This window comes from Homo sapiens, chromosome 5 (genome assembly GCF_000001405.40).
Source record: "Homo sapiens chromosome 5, GRCh38.p14 Primary Assembly".
NCBI lineage: Eukaryota > Metazoa > Chordata > Mammalia > Primates > Hominidae > Homo > Homo sapiens.
The window spans coordinates 139765053-139783590 of record NC_000005.10 but is presented as its reverse complement, the minus strand read 5'-3'; the positions used below and the strand labels follow the sequence as shown (position 1 = coordinate 139783590).

Sequence of the window (18538 nt, the reverse complement as noted above, 5' to 3'; positions counted from 1 at the left end):
CTACTCATGACGGCCAAGAGGTGGAAACAACCTGGTGTCCATCGACAGGTGAATGGATTAACAATATGTGCTACATCCATACAATGGAACATCAGCCTTAAAAAGACAGGAAGCACTGACACCTGCTACAATATGGACGCATCTGTTGTGAGACAGGGTCTTGTTCTGTCATCCAGGCTGGAGTCCAGTGGTGCAATCATAGCTCATTGTAGCCTTCAACTTCTGGGCTCAAGCGATCCTTCTGCCTCAGCCTCGCAAGTGGCTGAGACCACAGGTACGCACCACCCTGCCCAGCTAATTTTTTTTATTTTTATTTTTGTAGAGACGAGGGTCTTACTATGTTGACCAAGCTGACCTTGAACTCCTGGGCTCAAGCGATCCTCCCACCTCCGCCTCCCAAAGTGCTGGGATTACAGGTGTGACCGTGCCCAGCCAGATTAATCTTGAAAATGTTAGGCTAAGTGAAATAACTCAGACACAAAAGGACAAATGCTGTGTGATTCCAATTTATATGAAATATCTAGACAAGGCAAATCATAAAGACAGAAAGTAGGATAGACATGACCAGAGGCTGGAGGGAGAGCAGTGGTGAGTTCTCATCTAATGGATGGAGTTTTTGTTTGTGACGATGAAAAAGTTCTGGAAATATACTACATACTAGTGATGATTATATGACATTTTGAGGGTACCTAATATCACTGAATTGCACACTTAAAAATGGTTAAAGTGGTAAATCTTATGCTATTCTACCACAGTAAAAAATAAAATAAAGCCAAGTGACCTTCAAAAACTAGTCAGGGCTGGGCACAGTGGCTCATGCCTGTAATCCCAGCACTTTGGGAGGCCGAGGTGGGAGGATTGCCTGAGCTCAGGAGTTCGAGACCAGCCTGGGCAACACGGTGAAACCCTGTCTATACTAAAATACAAAAAATGAGCCGGGCGTAGTGGCATGCGCCTGTAGTCCCAGCTACTTGGGAGGCTGAGGCAGGAGAATTGCTTGAACCCGGGAGGCAGAGGTTGCAGTGAGCGCAGATCACGCCACTGCACTCCAGCCTGGGCTATGGAGTGAGACTGTGTCTCAAAAAAAAAAAAAAAAAAAACTAGTCAGGCCCAGCACAGTGGCTCACATCTGTAATCCCAGCACTCTGGGAGGCCAAAATGGGCGGATCACCTGAGGTCAGGAGTTTGAGACCAGCCTGGCCAACATGGCAAAACGTCATCTCTACTAAAAATACAAAAATTAGCTGGGCATGGTAGTGGGCACCTGTAATTCCAGCTACTTGGGAGGCTGAGGCAGGAGAATCACTTGAACCCAGGAGGCGGAGGTTATAGTGAGCCGAGATTGTGCCACTGCACTCCAGCCTGGGCAACAAGAGTGAAACTCCGTCTCACAGACAAACAAATAAACAAACAAAAAAAACTAGATAACAAGCATTTATTGAGCACCTAATACAGGCCAGATACTGGGCTGAAACCTAGGGCCTATGAAAGGCCCTGTGAAGGGCCACTGGGAGCCCACATGGGCTCAAATAAGTACTGCCCCCGCCCCACCTTCTGATCCCTTTGTTTTCTCGGGCCCCTGGGCAGGTAAATCCAGGCAGGCAATTATGATATGAAATGCTGTGTGTGTGTGCGATTTCAGAGAGATATGTGATGAGGCCAGGCACAATGGCTCACACTTGTAATCCCAGCATTTTGGGAGGCCGAGGTGGGCGGATCACCTGAGGTCAGGAGTTCGAGACCAGCCTGCCCAACATGGTGAAACCCCATCTCTGCTAAAAATACAAAAATTAGCCAGGTGTCGTGGCATGTGCCTGTAATCCCAGTTACTCAGGAGGCTGACGCAGGAGAATCGCTTGAACCCAGGAGGCGGAGGTTGCAGTGAGCCGAGATTGCGCCATTGCACTCCAGCCTGGGCAACAGAGTGAGAGTCCATCTCAAAATAAAAAAAAAAAAGGCCAGGCGCCGTGGCTCACACCTGTAATCCCAGCACTTTGGGAAGCCAAGACAGGTGGATCACGAGGTCAGAAGATCAAGACCACTCTGGCTAACACAGTGAAACCCCATCTCTACTAAAAATACAAAAAATTAGCCGGGCGTGGTGGCGGACACCTGTAGTCCCAGCTACTCGGGAGGCTGAGGCAGGAGAATGGCGTGAACCCAGGAGGTGGAGCTTGCAGTGGGCCAAGATTGCACCACTGCACTCCAGCCTGGGCAACAGAGCAAGACTCCGTCTCAGAAAAAAAAAAAAAGAGAGAGATATGTGATGAATGCTGTCCTGAGACTATGGTGAACAGCCACAGCTGGATCCCAGTTTTATAACCTTGCAGCTGGTCAAGTAATCACTGTCAAGAATTCTGGACAAATAGAATAAGGCCCGTGCAAAAGGAGATCTCTAGAGGCTCCACCCTTGGCCCTGGACTTCTCTGGTCCATAGGGTTTTTGTTTTGTTTTGTTTTTTTAAACAATAATTTGAATGAAGAATTAGAGGCATGCTCAATGTGTTTTTGGAGACTGGAAGATGAAAGGGGATGGCATCAGAAGCTGAAAAGAGGCAACAGAGTGAATAGTTAAGACCACAACATCTGAATCTGAACTACCTGGGTTCTAATCTCACCATTTATGACTGAGTCAACTTGGGCAAGTTACTTAACCTCTTCTTTGTGCCTCAATTTCCTCATCTCTAAAATGGGGATAATGGTAGCTCCCTCACAGGATTCTCCCAAAGTCTGAATGAGTTAACCAAGGGTCTGGACATGGCGCATGTATGAGAGTTTGCTACTCTCATCATTAACAGGACTGGCTGGAGGCCGAATTCAAAACCAACAAGATGGAATTTAATGAGGACAGCAGGCATGGTGGCTCACACCTGTAATCCCAGCGCTTTGGGAGGCCGAGGCTGGTGGATCATTTGAGACCAGGAGTTCAAGACCAGTCTGGCCAACATGGTGAAACCCCGTCTTTACTAAAAATACAAAAATTAGTCGGGCATGGTGCTGCGTGCCTGTAATCCAAGCTACTTGGGAGGCTGAGGCAGGAGAATCACTTGAACCCAGGAGGCAGTGGTTGCAGTGAGCCAAGATCACGCCACTGCACTCCAGCCTGGGCAATAGAGCGAGACAATGTCTCAAAAAAAGAACAACAACAACAAAAAAAAGAAATTTAATGAGGACAAATGAAAAAAGACAACATTCAGGTTCCAACAAAGCAATTATACAAGTTCAGGGTCACGGAGAGCTGGTTGAGCATCCATCCATTCATCTGTCCATGAGAAACAGCCTGGGGTGTACAGCTGATTGCCAGGTCAACTGCAGCCAACCCTGTCATTGTAACCTTCACTGGTATCCACCAAGGTGCAGCATCTGACACTGAGGAGGTGACAACCCCATTGTGTTCTGAGCTGAGAACCCATTGTGTTCTGAGCTGAGAACTCAAGGGTAGAGTGTAAAATGTTGGTGGGAGTATAAAATGGTAGAACTGCTTTGTAAATAGGTCAAGCAGTTTCTTAGACAACTAAACATATGCCCACCCTATGATGCAGCATTTCCACTCGAGTCCCCAAGAAAAAATGAAAACATATATTCACACAAAGATTGTACAACAATTTCATAGCAGTTTTGTTTACAATGGTTCCAAACTAGAAACAGCCCAGGTGTCTGTCAAGAAGCAAATGGATTAACAAACTATTACACATCCATACAATGGATTCCTACTCAACAATAAAAAGGAACAAACTACTGATACATGCAACAACAGGACGAAGCTCCAGAACATTATGCTGAATGAAACCAGCCAGGTAAAAAGAGTAGATACTGCATGATTCGATGATTATGACATTCTAGAATGAGCAAAACTAAGCTATGGTGGAAAGAAATCAGAACAATGGGGGCAACCGGGAAACTAGGAAACTTTTTGGAGTGATGGAAATATTCCATATCTTGATAGAGTTGGGCTTATACAAATATATGCATTTGTTAAAACTCAATAAATGGTATACTTAAGATTTGTGCATTTCATTGTATAAAAAATTTTGCCTTCATAGAACAAAGAACCATACACAAGCATTGACCTCTAGTTCATGATAAACATGTTGAAGTGTTTGGGGGTCAAAGTGTACTGATAGCTGTAATTTGCTCTAATATACACTCAAAAAAGATGACTTGATGGGTAAAGGAGGGATGCATAGATAATGACAAGACAAAGATGGCACTAAAATAAATTAGAAAACCCGGGGGGTGGCTACGTAGGTGTTCACTGTAAAATTTGTTCAACTTTTTTGTATGTCTGAAATTTTAACAATAAAATGTGGAGAAGAAGACAGCCAAAAGACCACAAATTGGGTGCAGTGTATACTGCTTAGGTGATGGCTGCACCAAAATCTCACAATCACCACTAAAGAACTGACTCATGTAACCAAACACCACTTGTTCCCCAATAACCTATGGAAATAAAAAAAATTAATAAATAAATTAAAAAACAACTGATGGCTAAGTCCTGGGGAAATCAGCACAGGCCCACAGCTGTCAGCATTTAGGAGGCAAATGCAGCGCACCTTTTGGGAAGCAATTTGTCAACATGCACCAAAAGCCTTAAAAAAGTTTCTGTCCTTTAACCAAATTTTTTCTTTCTTTTTTTTTTTTTTTTTGTTTTTTTTCTTTTTTTGAGACATTGGCTCGCTCTGTCACCCAGGCTGGAGTGCAAGGGCACTATCATGGCTCACTGCAGCCTCGACATCCTGGGTTCAAGCAACCCTCCCACCTCAGCCCCCTGAGTAGCTGCGACTATAGGCACGTGCCACCACACCCAGCTAATTTTTTGCACTTTTTTTTTTGGAGAGATGGGTTTCTGTCAAGTTGCCAGGCTGATCTCAACCTCCTGGGCTCAAGCGATCCTTGGCCTCCCAAAGTGCTAGTATTACAGGCGTAAGCCACCACGCCTGACCCTCATTGCTAGGGATTTATCCTAAGAAAATAAAGATGGATGTGGGCAAAGATATAGCTACAAGGATGTTCATTACAATATTGATTATAATGGCAAAAAGTTGTAAATAACTTAAATGTCCTAAAATAGGGTATTGGTTAAAGAAATTGTGGTGTCTTTATGCACTGGAGTATTATGTCATTAAAATGATGCATCACAAATATTTGCTGAAATGGAAAGATATTCTTTATCTATACAGTTAAGGAGGAAGCAGAGCCTCTGGAGTCACTCTTCTCTTGACTAGAGACCCCATCCCATGACATGGGCTACTCAGTGTACCACTGCCTGTCCCAAGGCTTACAGTTCTTGGGGGGCCTTAATGTCTCCTTATTGTGACTAGCTGTCTTCCTATTTTCATGACATTCTCCACTTCCCACCTGCCTTGTACATCTTGTGTGCACTGTCCCATTTCCCCCTGCACTGTCCCTTGGGAACCACACTTATTCCTTCACACCTCGAGTGCCACTAATTGGGCATACAACTTTGACTGACATTTGCAGTGAAGGCATAACTGGACCTTGTGTAGGACTTTCCTAGGGGGCCAGCACTGAAGCCCTCGCTTCTTCATTCTGAAAGAGGCCCTGCCCATGGGGGCCTGGGTTTGCCTTGTTCCCAGGCTCTAGGAGGAAGGTGGTGGAGACTGAGAGGGAATGGTTGTTGGGAGCCTGTCTGGAGGGCAATGCTTCAGCAAAATGCTCCTACATTTCTTTTTTTATTTGTCTGTTTTTGAGACAGGATCTCCCTCTGTCACCCAGGCTGGAATACAGTGGGGCTATCATGGCTCACTGTAGCCTCAACCTCCTGAGCTCAAGCAATCCTCCCACCTCAGCCTCCCAGGTAGCTGGGAACACAGGTGTGTGCCACCACACGCAGCTAATTTTTGTATTTTTGTAGAGATGAGGTCTGGCCATGTTGCACAGGCTCATCTCGAACTCCAGAGCTCAAGCACTCCACCCACGTCGGCCTCCCAAAGTGCTGGGATTAAGGGCATGAGCCACAGCACCCAGGCTGCTCCCCACATTTCTAGCATGGCCTTTGGAAACTAAATTTTTCTTTATCATCAAAATTATTTTATTCTCTTTGCCCCAATCCTCAGTCTTCCTGAGCAAACCTGTCTTACAACCAAATGACCTTCAAGCTACTAAGTTAGACAGACGTTGCCTTTCTCCCCTACAAGGCCTCCCTCCCACCAGCTTTGAAATAGTCTTGCTTTTGCCTCTCACTTTAATGCACACATTGGCATCTGTTTGCAACAAGAGGCCCCAAGGAGCTAAAAGAGGTCATCTCTGGGTGGTAGGATTGGGGATATTTTTCCCTTGTGCATATTTTTTACTTTCCCTATAACAAACACATATTTTTTTGTGTATTGAGAAAAAGCCACTACAGAAGGGGCCATTGCCAATTAGGGTATACCCAGTGGAGGGTTGCCCAGGAGATGAAGGGCTGAAAAGGTTGTTTATAGGGAACTGGCACCACTTAAGCTGGAGAAAAGGCTGGAATGGGGATGGGAGGACACAGACCTCTCTGCAGCCATCTGGGGCCTGTGTGCAGCAGATGGAGTCACTTGTTCTGTGCTCCACAGAGTGAGCTAGTTCCAACAGCTGGACAGCACAAGAAGGCCAGCTTGGTCTCACTAGAAGAAACTGTCCTACAGTGGAAACTACATGCCTTTTAAGGCAGCTATCTCCCCATCACATAAGGTGTGCAAGCAAGATGGGCAGCCCATTGTCGGGAGGGTTAGAGAGGGGATTTATAGGCTGGCCAGGAGAATGGACTGTGGTTCTTTGAGGTGCCTTAATGAAGCTCACCAGCTACTCAGGAGGCTGAGGAAGGAGGATCACTTGAGCCCAGGAAGTTGAGGCTACAGTGAGCCTTGATCATGCCACTGCACTCCAGCCTGGGTGACAGAACAAGACCCTATCTGGAAAAAAAAAAAAAAAGCAGCTCAGAATGACCTGAGCAAAGTGTCAAGGGAGCTCTGCGACCATGTCTAACATTGGTGAATAGAGGGGATGGTCAGGGAGGACTTCCTGGAGGAGTTCAGAAAACTGACTTTATGGCCCCTCAATCTCCAGCCTCTGGGTACATATCTTATTGACCTCTTTTTCTGGGGTCATCCAGCCGTTTCTGGACAAAAACAAACAAAGCCTCAGCCCCTGCCTTGCTGCAGGATCCTAGATAATTCCCTGCTCCTCTCTGGGCCTCAGGATGCCCTTCTGCTCAATGTTCTCAGCTGAAATTACCCATGATTTTTCCTCCAGGGCAGGCCAAACTGCCAGTCATGCACTTGGGGGAGGGAGGCTGCTGGGTTTTTTAGGGGGACCCTGGTTGTATCCCAGCTTACAGCCCTTGGGACTTGGGCCCGATGCCCAGAGGAGATTCAGCAGAGGTGGCAGGGGTCCCAGAAGCAGGCCAGGGGCTCAGCCAGGCTCCCTGGATACCCCTCCCCAGCCCTCAGCGGCAGGAGGTCAGGAAGGAGACTGGATGTTATCCTGCCGGTGTCGTTACCATGGTGATGGGGTATATATCTGAGCTCTCCCCAGGGCCCCTGAACCCCTCCTCAGGGACCTTGGGGAGGCGTCTTGGAGGGGGATGAGGCAGAGTGTGGTGGGGGCAAACTGAGGTCAGAAGACAGGTGAAGAGGCTGGACTCAGTGGCTCACGCCTGTAATCCCAGCATTTTGGGAGATCGAGGCAGGTGGATCACCTGAAGTCAGGAGTTTGAGACCAGCCTGACCAACATAGCGAAACTCCGTCTCTACTAAAAATACAAAAATTAGCAGGGCGTGGTGGCGCATGCCTATAATTCCAGCGACTTGGGAGGCTGAGGCAGGAGAATCGCTTGAACCTCGGAGACGGAGGTTGCAGTGAGCTGAGATCGTGCCATTGCACTCCAGCCTGGGCGATAAGAGCTCTCTCTCACAAAAAAAGGAAGAAGAAAGGAGAAGGAGAAGACAGGCGAAGAAACTCCCTCCCCTGCAGATGAGTTCATTTAGGGTGGGGCACTGGGTAGCGCACAGGCTGGGGGGTCAGGCGGGCCTGGTCTGAATTCCCCTGCTGAGTGATCTTGGGTAAGTGGCTCTACGTCTCTGGGCCTGTGAGGATGTTGGTATGACGATTAAATGAGACGCCACTGGGATGGTGATGAGCTCATGACTTTATTTTCTCCTCACACGCACAGACACTTGTAGGCAGAAACTGAGCCAAACCGAGAGTGCCGCAGATGGGCGCCCCTGACCTTCCCGCTGCTCCAAGCTCCCCACTCGGCCTCGCGCGCCCTCCCTCCTCTCATAGCTCGGCGTCCTCGCCCGCCCCCGCGCGGCCCTCCCAGGTACTGCAGCAGCCCCCGCCACTCCCGGAGACAGTGCCCCAACACTCCTGCGTCCCCTGCTGCCTTGCAAAGATAGGGTGTGGAGTAATCTGACCTCAGTGCCTCAAGGCCTTGTCTCCAAACCTTCGAAGTGTTGGCTGTTCTTCTTGGAGTCTAGCCTCACCTCCTGGGTATGGGTTCCAGATCCATCTTGCTGATCCCAGACTGGTGGTGGGCGCCAGAAGCAACCTTGGCTGGGGCGGCCAATGGCACTGCAGGCAGGAGGGCGGCGGCACAGTACGGTCTCGATAGAGGTCAAATCATGATCTGGGCTCCTGGTGATGTCCAGGAACACACTCCACGCCTCCATGTGCACACATCCACAAGCACCACACTCCCATGGTGGACACAGCAACATCACTACCCAATCAGGCCCCGTCCCTCCCCTGTGCCCTGCGGACCCCGAGGAAAGCGGTGCTTACTCTAAATTGCAAATAGAAAGCCTTTCCCGGGGCCGGGCGCAGTGGCTCACGCCTGTAATCCTGGCACTTTGGGAGGCCGAGGTGGGCGGATCACGAGGTCAGGAGTTCCAGACCAGCCTGACCAACATGGTGAAACCCCGTCTCTACTAAAAAATACAAAAATTAGCCGGGCGTGGTGGTGGGCTCCTGTAATCCCAGCTACTCAGGAGGTTAAGGCAGGAGAATCGCTTGAACTCAGGAGGCAGACGTTGCAGTGAGCCGAGATCGTGCCACTGCACTCCAGCCTGGGTGACAGAGCAAGACTCCATCTCCAGAAAAGAAAAGAAAAGCAAGAAAGCCTTTCCAGGGCCCACAGCCCTGCATCGGCCAGCCCTGCCCACCTCTTAAACCACCTCTTCCCCCATTCCCCCTGCCCATTATTCACTATTTTCCAGCAAAAATACGCAGTGCTCACTCCACACTTCAGGTCCTGTGCACTTACTGTTCCCTCTCCCTGAACCTCCACTCCTTATCCCAGATCCACCACTGGCTGCTTTCTTCCCTTCTTTTAGGCTTCAGTTCAAATACCACCTCCCCAAAGAGTCCTTTGAGACCACTGAAGCTAAGAGGCTCCCCACCCTCCATTCCTGAAAAACATGCTTCCTGCCTAATGTGTAATCTAATCATTAGGACAATGCACATCAAAAAAAAAACGAGACCGAGTGCTGCGGCTCACGCCTCTAATCCCACACTTTAGGAGGCTGAGGTGGGAGGATCACCTGAGTCTAGAAGTTCAAGGCTGCAGTGAGCTATGATGTAAACCCTTGGGACATTGAGGGACAATGTCCCTCAATGTCATTGGGACATTACATCAAGGGACATTGAAACCCTTGTCCCTTGTGCACTGTTGGTAGGAATATAAAAGGGTTCAGCCAGTATGCAAAATAGTATGGTGGTTCCTCAAACAATTAAAAATAAAATTATATGATCCACCAATTCCCCCATCTGGATATATTCCCAAAAGCATTGAAACAAGAACTCGAAGATATGCTTATACCCCTACATTCATAACAGCATCATTCACAACAGCCAAGCGGTGGCAGCCACCCAAGAACCCATCAGCAGGTGAATGGTGGTCTATCCACACAGTGGAGTACTACTCAGCCTTAAAAAGGAAAGAATTATGACATAGACAATATGAGTGAGCCTCAAAGGCACTATGCTGATGAAATAAGCCAGTCACAGAAGGACAAATATGGTATGATTCCATTTATATGATGTACCTAGGGTAGTCAAATTCATAGAGACAGAAAGTAAAATGGGAGGCCAAGATGGGAGAACTGCTTGAGGTCAGGAGTTCAAGACCAGCCTGGGCAACATAGCAAGACTCTGTCTCTAGAAAAAAATGAAAAAAAGCAGGGTGTGGTGGTGTGTGCCTGTAGTCCCAGCTATCAAGAGGCTGAGGCAGGAGGATTCCTTGAGCCCAGGAATTCAAGGCTGCAGTGAGCTATGATTGTGCCACTGCACTCCAGCCCGGGTGACAAAAGCGAGACCCAATCTAAAAAAAGGAAGAAAGGAAGGAAGGTAGGAAGAAAGGAAGGTAGGTGGTTGCAGGGGTGGAGGGTGCTGGGAAAGGAGGTGGGGGAGTTACTGTTTTAATGAGTTCAGAGTTTCAGTTTTGCGAGATGAATGACTTCCAAAGATGGATGGTGGTGACGGTTGCACAATAATGTGAATGTATTTAATGTCACTGAACTGTATACTTAAAAAAGGTTAAGATGATAAATTTTGTTATGTATATTTTACCGTAAATAAAAAAATATGTATCAAAACATTTCTTTGCTTTTTCAATCCTGCCTCATTCATTAAACTGTGACCTCCATAAGAACAGTACCTGTATCTGCCTGGTGCACCTACTGTGTGTTGCTAGTCACTGAAGACTTGGGGACCAAGACAGACAAGGTGCCCACTCACCTGGAGCTCACAGCCTGCGGGGAGGGGAAAAAGATACTGAACAAACAAATAAACAAGAATATTATCACCTATTACCTGCTGTGCAGAAAATTAAAAAGTGAAATGTAACAGAGTGGCTGCATGAGGAGGAGTTTCAACTGGAGCAGTCAGGCATACCATCCCAGAGGAGGTGACATTTGTGCAAAGACCCAAGGAATGATCAAGAGTCAGTCATCAAGCATCCAGGAGACCTGAGCTGCAGACAGAAGAAACAGCAAGTGCAAAGGCCCTGTGCTGGGCATGAGTGTGGCATGCTAGAGGAACAGCAGAGAGAAAAGGAGGGGACGAGGAGGAGAGATGAAAGAAGGAGGCCCTGGGACAGGGAGAAGGAGAGGGGACAGAAGGTGTTCCTGGTCGCAGAGCAGGGAGGCCTCACTGGATCACCAACCTCCTCTTCACAGCAGGGGAGGAGGGGCTCCATGAACCGAGACCTCTAAGTGCCCAGCTCTGCACCAAATGCTTTTTACAGATCGGCTCGGAGAATGCTCTCAACAGTCCTTGGGGCAGGTATAGTCATTAGCCACAATATAAAGAAGGAAACAGGCTCAGAGAACTTGGCTGAGCTGCTGGGTCTGGGACTAGAGTCAAAGTCATAGAGCGGGAGGAGGGATCTAATGCCCCCTGTGCTGCCTTCAAGGACCCAGTCTGGGGACGCTTTTTCCTCCCACCCAGCTGCCCTTCCACTCCCACTCCCACTCCCTCTGCCTCTAGGGAGAGGGCCTCGCACAGGAGGCCTGGCTGCTAACTGATCCCTGCCAAGGGCTTTCCGTTCCTCCTCTCATTGTCCCCTAAGAGCAAGCCAAGGAGAGAACCCACTACCTCTCCCTCACCTGGCTGGGGAAGGGTGCTGGGAGCGAGGAGACAGAAGCCCATCTCCAGTCCCGCAACACCGTTTCTGAGGCCCCTCTGCAGGCCCTGCCCTTGGAAGGGGTTGGACCGTGGTCCTTGGATGGCAGCCCAGTGGTCAGTGAAGATGCCCCCCAAGGCCAGGGGCAACAGCATCTTGAAGTCTGAGAGAACTTACTTCCCCATATGCGCTACACTGCCCCAGACCCTAAATAGCCTGTGGCACACCAGGGAGAGAGCCAGACTCCAGGGACAGCCAGACCTTGCACCAGCTGGGAAGAATGTTATAGAAAGGAAAGCAGGCTGCGGGGCGCGGTGGCTCAAGACTGTAATCCCAGCACTTTGGGAGGCCGAGGTGGGCGGATCACGAGGTCAGGAAATCGAGACCATCCTAGTTAACACGGTGAAACCCCATCTCTACTAAAAATACAAAAAATTAGCCGGGCGTGGTGGCGGGCGCCTGTAGTCCCAGCTACTCGGGAGGCTGAGGCAGGAGAATGGCGTGAACCCAGGAGGCGGAGCTTGCAGTGAGCCGAGATTGTGCCACTGCACTCCAGCCTGGGCGACAGAGTGAGACTCCATCTCAAAAAAAAAGAAAAGAAAAGAAAAGAAAGCAGGCCTGCTTCCTGCCTGCACTCCTGCGCTCAGGCTATTCAGGGCCTTACCCACCACGGCGGCTCCACCACAGAGGGAGTGCCCAGGGGTGGGGCAGCCCCGGGTCCCCAGGCCCGCAATTCCTCACCCTAAAATAGAGACTCCGCCACCCGGGCCAGTCACAACATGGGACCCAGCACAAAATGAAAATGTGGAGCTTCTTGTTCAAAAAGCAGGAGGGAAATGCCTAATAATAAAGGCGCTAAAATATAAAAGTATCTATGTATCTGTACCTAGAGATATATAAAGCTTCGCTTCTTTTCTGTTGGTCTGCCTCTAGATTTGTCATGAGTTTGTATTTGTTAAATATCATTTTAAGTAAAGAAAAATGAAAAATCTAAATGACTAGCATGAATTTTACTATTCATCTTTCTATTGTGCAATGTCAGTTTTAAATGCAAATATAAGGGTGTTTAACTCATATGCAGAATCATCAAAATCGTATAATTTGTATTCAGTACCTTGTGCACACATGTGTATTTCATCTTACCTGAAATGGTGGGAAAGGGCACAAAACTTACTCAACTGTTTTCATTTCTTTTCTTGACTTATGCACATTCTCTCAACATGCTCTGCTTTTAGCTTATGATGTGTGAGGAGGGGCTGAAAGGAAAGGAACTACAGGTTGCCTGATCTGTCCCTGTCCTAGCTCATCATGATTAGTGTCAGCGGTTGGCTTATCCAGCGAAATAACATGAGGAAGAAGGCTATAGCAGGGTTCCTGGGCCATTCATGTTTTTTTGTTTGTTTGTTTGTTTTTTTGACACGGAGTCTCGCTCTGTTGCCCAGGCTGGAGTGTAGTGCCGCGATCTCAGCTCTCTGCAACCTCCGACTCCCCAGTTCAAGCAATTCTCCTAATTCTCCTGCCTCAGCCTCCTGAGCAGCTGGGATTATAGTCCGCCTGCCACCACGACCAGCTAATTTTTGTATTTTAGTAGAGATGGGGTTTCACCATGTTGGCCAGGCTGGTCTCGAGCTCCTGACCTCAGGAGATCCACCTGCCTCAGCTCCCCAAAGTGCTGGGATTACAGGCGTGAGTCACCAAGACAGGCCCTGTTCATGTTTCTTAGCACACAATTGCCTTCTTCTTGCATCTGGCAAGTTCTGGTTGAAATGGATGGTGAGGTCCCTCAGGGCTGTCAGCGTTCCTCTTACTCAGTTGTAGACATAACAAGCTTACCTTACACTCACTTTGAGTCTTGCTGAGCCCCCACATGTGGTGGGGTCATCAGAATCCTGTGCTCACGGGCATCACCAGCACTGCATGCACACAGGAGCCCCAGCCGGCCCGCATGACACCCAGGTTCTACCTCTCTGTGTACCGCATGCTCCACTGTCCCACTGGACCCCACTTACAAAACACAAGTTCAAAGATGAAATTATGAGACATTTCAAGACAGCTACAGCAGAGCATTAAGGTAAGCAGGCCCTGGTGAGCATGGGGCCCTGTGTGACCCCACGTCAATGAAGCTGCCCCACCTCCACCCTCACCGCAAGCCAGATGGAAACTTCCAAGGAGGACTGTGGCTGGCCCAACTCAGGGCACTGCCCCCCACTGCCACCATCAGTGTCTTGAGTCCGAAGTGCAATGACTGACCCAGCCTGGGTCACAAGGCCACCCATGGCCAGGTAGGAGGTGAAGGTGGGGCATCTATGACTCACTTCACCTTTAGGGAACAAAGGTGTGTCCCTGAAGGGCTGGGCAAGTGCTGGACAGATGAGAACTCAAGCCACCACAGTCCCCTGCCCATAGGTGAGGTTCAGTACAGGAGGGCAGTTCAGGCAGGGGAGAAGTCTTTATAATGAAGGAAGGTGGGAAGCCTGAGGAGCCACAAGTGCTACAGCCTGGCTGCCCCCCACAGAGGAGCTGGGAGAGATGAGGGCATAGAGGTAGCAGGTCACATGGAGGCCCTGAGTGCCCTCCATTGGGACTTATCGCACTCTGACCATGCCACCCCTGTCTAGAAGCTTCTCTGGATTTTTGCTGTCAGGAAAATACCCACAGCCCTATCCCTGAGGCCTGAGGCCCGTCCTCCTCTCCCCCAACCCCCGCCGCCACCTGCTCTGCTGCAGCCGTAGCCCTGCTTGCCCTGGGTCTTAGGCTCTGTGCCTGTTCTTCCCTTTGCCTGGAGCCCTCTTCCCACCATGCTCCTTCTTCAGACTATGCACACTCCCTCTGGGTCCTGGCATGAATATCACCTCCTTCAGGAAGTCTTCCCCAACCCACCAGGCTGGGTCACAGGCCCTGTGCTTCTCCAACATCACTGCCTGGTGACTCATCTTCCCCTACCCTCCACCAATGACAGAATTCCATGAGGGCAGGGACTGGCTCCTGTTCAGGGCAATAGCCCCAGACCCCAACACGTAGTAGGTGCTCAATAATGTTGTTGACTGAACGCATGAGTTCACAGGCTGTGGGAGTCTGGACTCTGCATGAGCTACTGTCTTGTCTTACAGATCAGACAGTTAGTCCAGGGTGGAGGGACTGAGAGGCATGATGCACCCACCATGTTGCAGGCCCGATTGGCTCTTTACATTCCTGACCTCACTTTTTTACTCCCATCCAGCCCAGGAGGGAGGGAGGTGTTGTTTTTTTTTTTTTTTTAGATGGAGTTTTGCTCTTGTTGCCCAGGCTGGAGTGCAATGGCTTGATCTCGGCTCACAGCAACCTCTGCCTCCCAGGTTCAAGCAATTCTCCTGCCTCAGCCTCCCAAATAGCTGGGATTACAGGCATGCGCCACCAAGCCCAGCTAATTTTGTATTTTTAGTAGAGACGGGGGTTTCTCCATGTTGGTCAGGCTAGTCTCGAACTCCCTTCCTCAGGCGATCCACCCACCTCGGCCTCCCAAAGTGCTGGGATTACAGACTTGAGCCACCATGCCTGGCCAAGGAAGGTGTTTTTATACCTGTTACACAAATGAGGAAACAGAGGGCAGTGAGTGGGTCACATTCTCTTTTTATGCCCTCCTCTCCCCCACTACACACATCTAAACCGCAGCCAGGGTGACCAGCCCACTGGCCTCTCAGCCTGGAGTCCAGAGGTCCTCTTTTCTTGGCCTGTCTGGGAGAGAACTCTCTCCCAGCTGGGGCCTGTCCTATCCTTTCTCCCTCCTCTTCCTCCCCCTCCCCACTTCCTTCCTTCCTGCTGTAGGATATTCCCTTTGCAGGAAAGGTTCCAGGTTCCGGGGCAAGGCCCCCAGGTTCAGCTGCCCAGGCTGGGACACGTGCTACCTCCATCAACCAGCCCCTTTGCCCTCCCTGGCGGGGGGCCAGATATCTGAGCCAGGCCCAGGGGACAGGGGAGCACTGCACAGGGGACAGCTCAAGGTCTTCTTGTCCCTCTCTCTGCCTCCAGCCCTAGCTGAGGCAGAGGACTCTGGAACTCATCCTGGTGCCCTGGGGTCAGGCACTAGACCTGGTAGGGGCTTTGTCACTCTGCCTGTGAGCTGGTCATCACTGAGAGCCTCTGAGCAAGAGCCTTACCTCTGTCAAGCTGGTATATAACCTCTTGGATTGCATGTGCTGAATCACTTTGCACAGCACCTGGCACAAAGTGAGTGCTCAGTTAACATTATTAACAGCTCCAATCATTGTTATTATTCTCTCCAATATCATCCTCATCTGACTGAATCTTTACAGCTCTCCTGGGAAGTAGGTAGAGTTTTGATCCTCATTTTATAAATAAGAAAACTGATGCTTACAAAGACAGGAGGGGCCAGATGCCGTGTCTCACATCTGTAATCCCAGCACTCTGGGAGGCCGAGGTGGGCAGATCACTTGAGATCAGGAGTTCGAGACCAGCCTGGCCAACATGGGGAAACCCCGTCTCTACTAAAAATACAAAAATTAGCTGGGCATGGTGGTGCATGCCTGTAATCCCAGCTACTTGGGAGACTGAGGCATAAGAATCCCTTGAATCCGGGAGGTGGAGGTTGCAGTGATCTGAGATCGTGACATTGCACTCCAGCCTGGGCAATAGAGTGGGATTCTGTCTTTAAAAAATAAAAATAAAAGGAAGAAAGAAAGAAAGATGGTGGCTGGGTGCGGTGGCTCACGCCTGTAATCCCAGCACTTTGGGAGGCCGAGGCAGGCGGATCACGAGGTCAGGAGATCGAGACCATCCTGGCTAACACGGTGAAATCTGTCTCTACTAAAAATACAAAAAAAATTAGCTGGGCAAGGTGGCGGGTGCCTGTAGTCCCAGCTACTCGGGAGGCTGAGGCAGTAGAATGGTGTGAACCTGGGAGGCAGAGCTTGCAGTGAGCCGAGATTGTGCCACTGCACTCCAGCCTGGGTGACAGAGCGAGACTCTGAGAAAGAAAGAAAGAAGGAAAGAAAGAAAGAAAGAAAGAAAGAAAGAAAGAAAGAAAGAAAGAAAGAAAGAAAGAAAGAAAGAAGGGAAGGAAGGAAGGAAGGAAGGGAGGGAAAGAGGGAAAGAAGGAAAGAAAGAAAGAAAGAAAGAAAGAAAGAAAGAAAGAAAGAAAGAAAGAAAGAAAGAAGGAAGGGACTTGCCCAGACTCAAACCCAGGCCAGTCAGTGCTCTTTATCACCTTACTATCCTGATGCCTACCCCTCTATTCGCCCTAGAGCAATTCTTAACCTGCTGGGTGTCTCAGTTTCCCCAGCCAGGCAATGGCGAGGATGGAGGAGGCATCTCTAAGGACCTTTAAGTCTAAGGGAACTTATTAATCCATCGAGGTGGGGCTGCTGGAATGGGCACAAAATCACAGATCTAACCATGGAGGGTCCTACAGGCCAAGGTCACCTAAACTCAGGACAGACTGCAAGAGTCTAACCTGGGTCCCTTCTGCTCTAGCTCCATCCATTTCCCCCATACACAGAGGAGAGAAAACCCCATATTGTGGGACAGGGAGAGGGTGCCCCCCACCATTCCAGGACTGCTGAAGACTGAGAAACAGGCCCAGGCAGGTGAAAAGAAGGCTAGGCGCTGGTAGACGGGCAGAGGCAGAAACAGAGTCATCGAAGGGTAGGTCCATCAACAAGTATCCCATGAAAGGCTTAGGGCCAGATAGAACTGCCAGGCCTGGAAGGGAGGCCTCACCCTACTGCCACCAATCCTGTATCGCCCCCTTCTACAAACAGCACATCGAATCACAGCTCAGATTGTAGACTTCCTGAGTTCAGATCCATCTGTTAGTCCTTCATCTGTGGACTCAGCGATCCACCCCCACCACCATTCTGCTCCGCGGTCCCTCTCCCCAGGCCCTGGTTCCACACCTCCCTACCCAATGTTCTCCCTTCATCCAGACCCCAGGCTCTCTACCCAGCCACCACAGAGGGGCCTGGCTTGCCGTCACCCCATCGCCGCCAGCTTGAGGACAGGCCCAAAAAAGGAGGACAGGGAAAGAGAGAGGGAACGAACGCACCACCCCGGGCCAGAGCGGCGTCCTCTCATCGGCCTAGGAAGCTGTACTGCTCAGCAGCCACCAGAGGGCGCGCGCCCCTTCTCAGAGCCAAAGCCACGACGGCGGCGGTGGCGGCGGACCCGGAGGGGTTTGCAGAAGATGCGGGGCAGGGGTGCGGTCACTCCGGGAGGAACCCCCCCGGAACGCAGCCGCACCCTGGGCTCGGATTCAGCCCTTGTAAGAAGACGGCCTTGGATGCTGCCCCTCGACCCTCTCCCCAGCCGCGCCCCGCGCTTCGGTCTCCTGCTGACTACTCGCTCTCTCCCCCTCCTGGCCGCTGCGAGCACTGCGGCCCGGCGGAGCTTGGGCTTGGAGGGTGGGAGGTGGGCAAGGGGGCGAATGGGGATTTATCTGGAAATAATGTGGCAAGGGGCTGCATGGTGGGAATATACTGGGCAGAACGAGATTGTAGTGGTTAGCACTAGGTGAACAGAAGTACGAAGAGGTGGGGAACTACAGTGGATGTGCAGGGTACTGGGCCGATTAATAGGAGGGCACTGGGGGCCACCGGGCAGGTACTGGGGGCAGTGGGTGGTCCCTGGGGGCTATTTAAGTGGTACCAAGCCTAAACTGGAAAGAGGGCGCTGGGTGGTTTCCTGGTGGTAACGGGGGCCCTGAGTGCATGTTGGAAGTACCACTGCGTAGGCACTGGGGGTACTGAATAACAACTGGAGACATTGTGTGCTGGGAAGAACTGGAAGGCAGTGTGAAGATAGCGAGCAGAAGGGGCACTGAGTGGGAACCAGGGGTGGGAGGGTCACGGAACCCGCAGTGGGAAGTACTGAGTGGGTCTGGGGATATGGCACAACTGAGAGGGTGAGGGGGCGTTGGAAGGGTTCGTGGCAGGTA

General features: G+C 50.3%; 1 protein-coding gene across 3 annotated transcripts in view; it reads right to left on the bottom strand.

Moving 5' to 3' along the window:
• The window catches only part of PSD2 (pleckstrin and Sec7 domain containing 2), a 101992-nt gene that overhangs the window by 60876 nt on the left and 22578 nt on the right, over positions 1 to 18538 (bottom strand). The window lies entirely within an intron of this gene.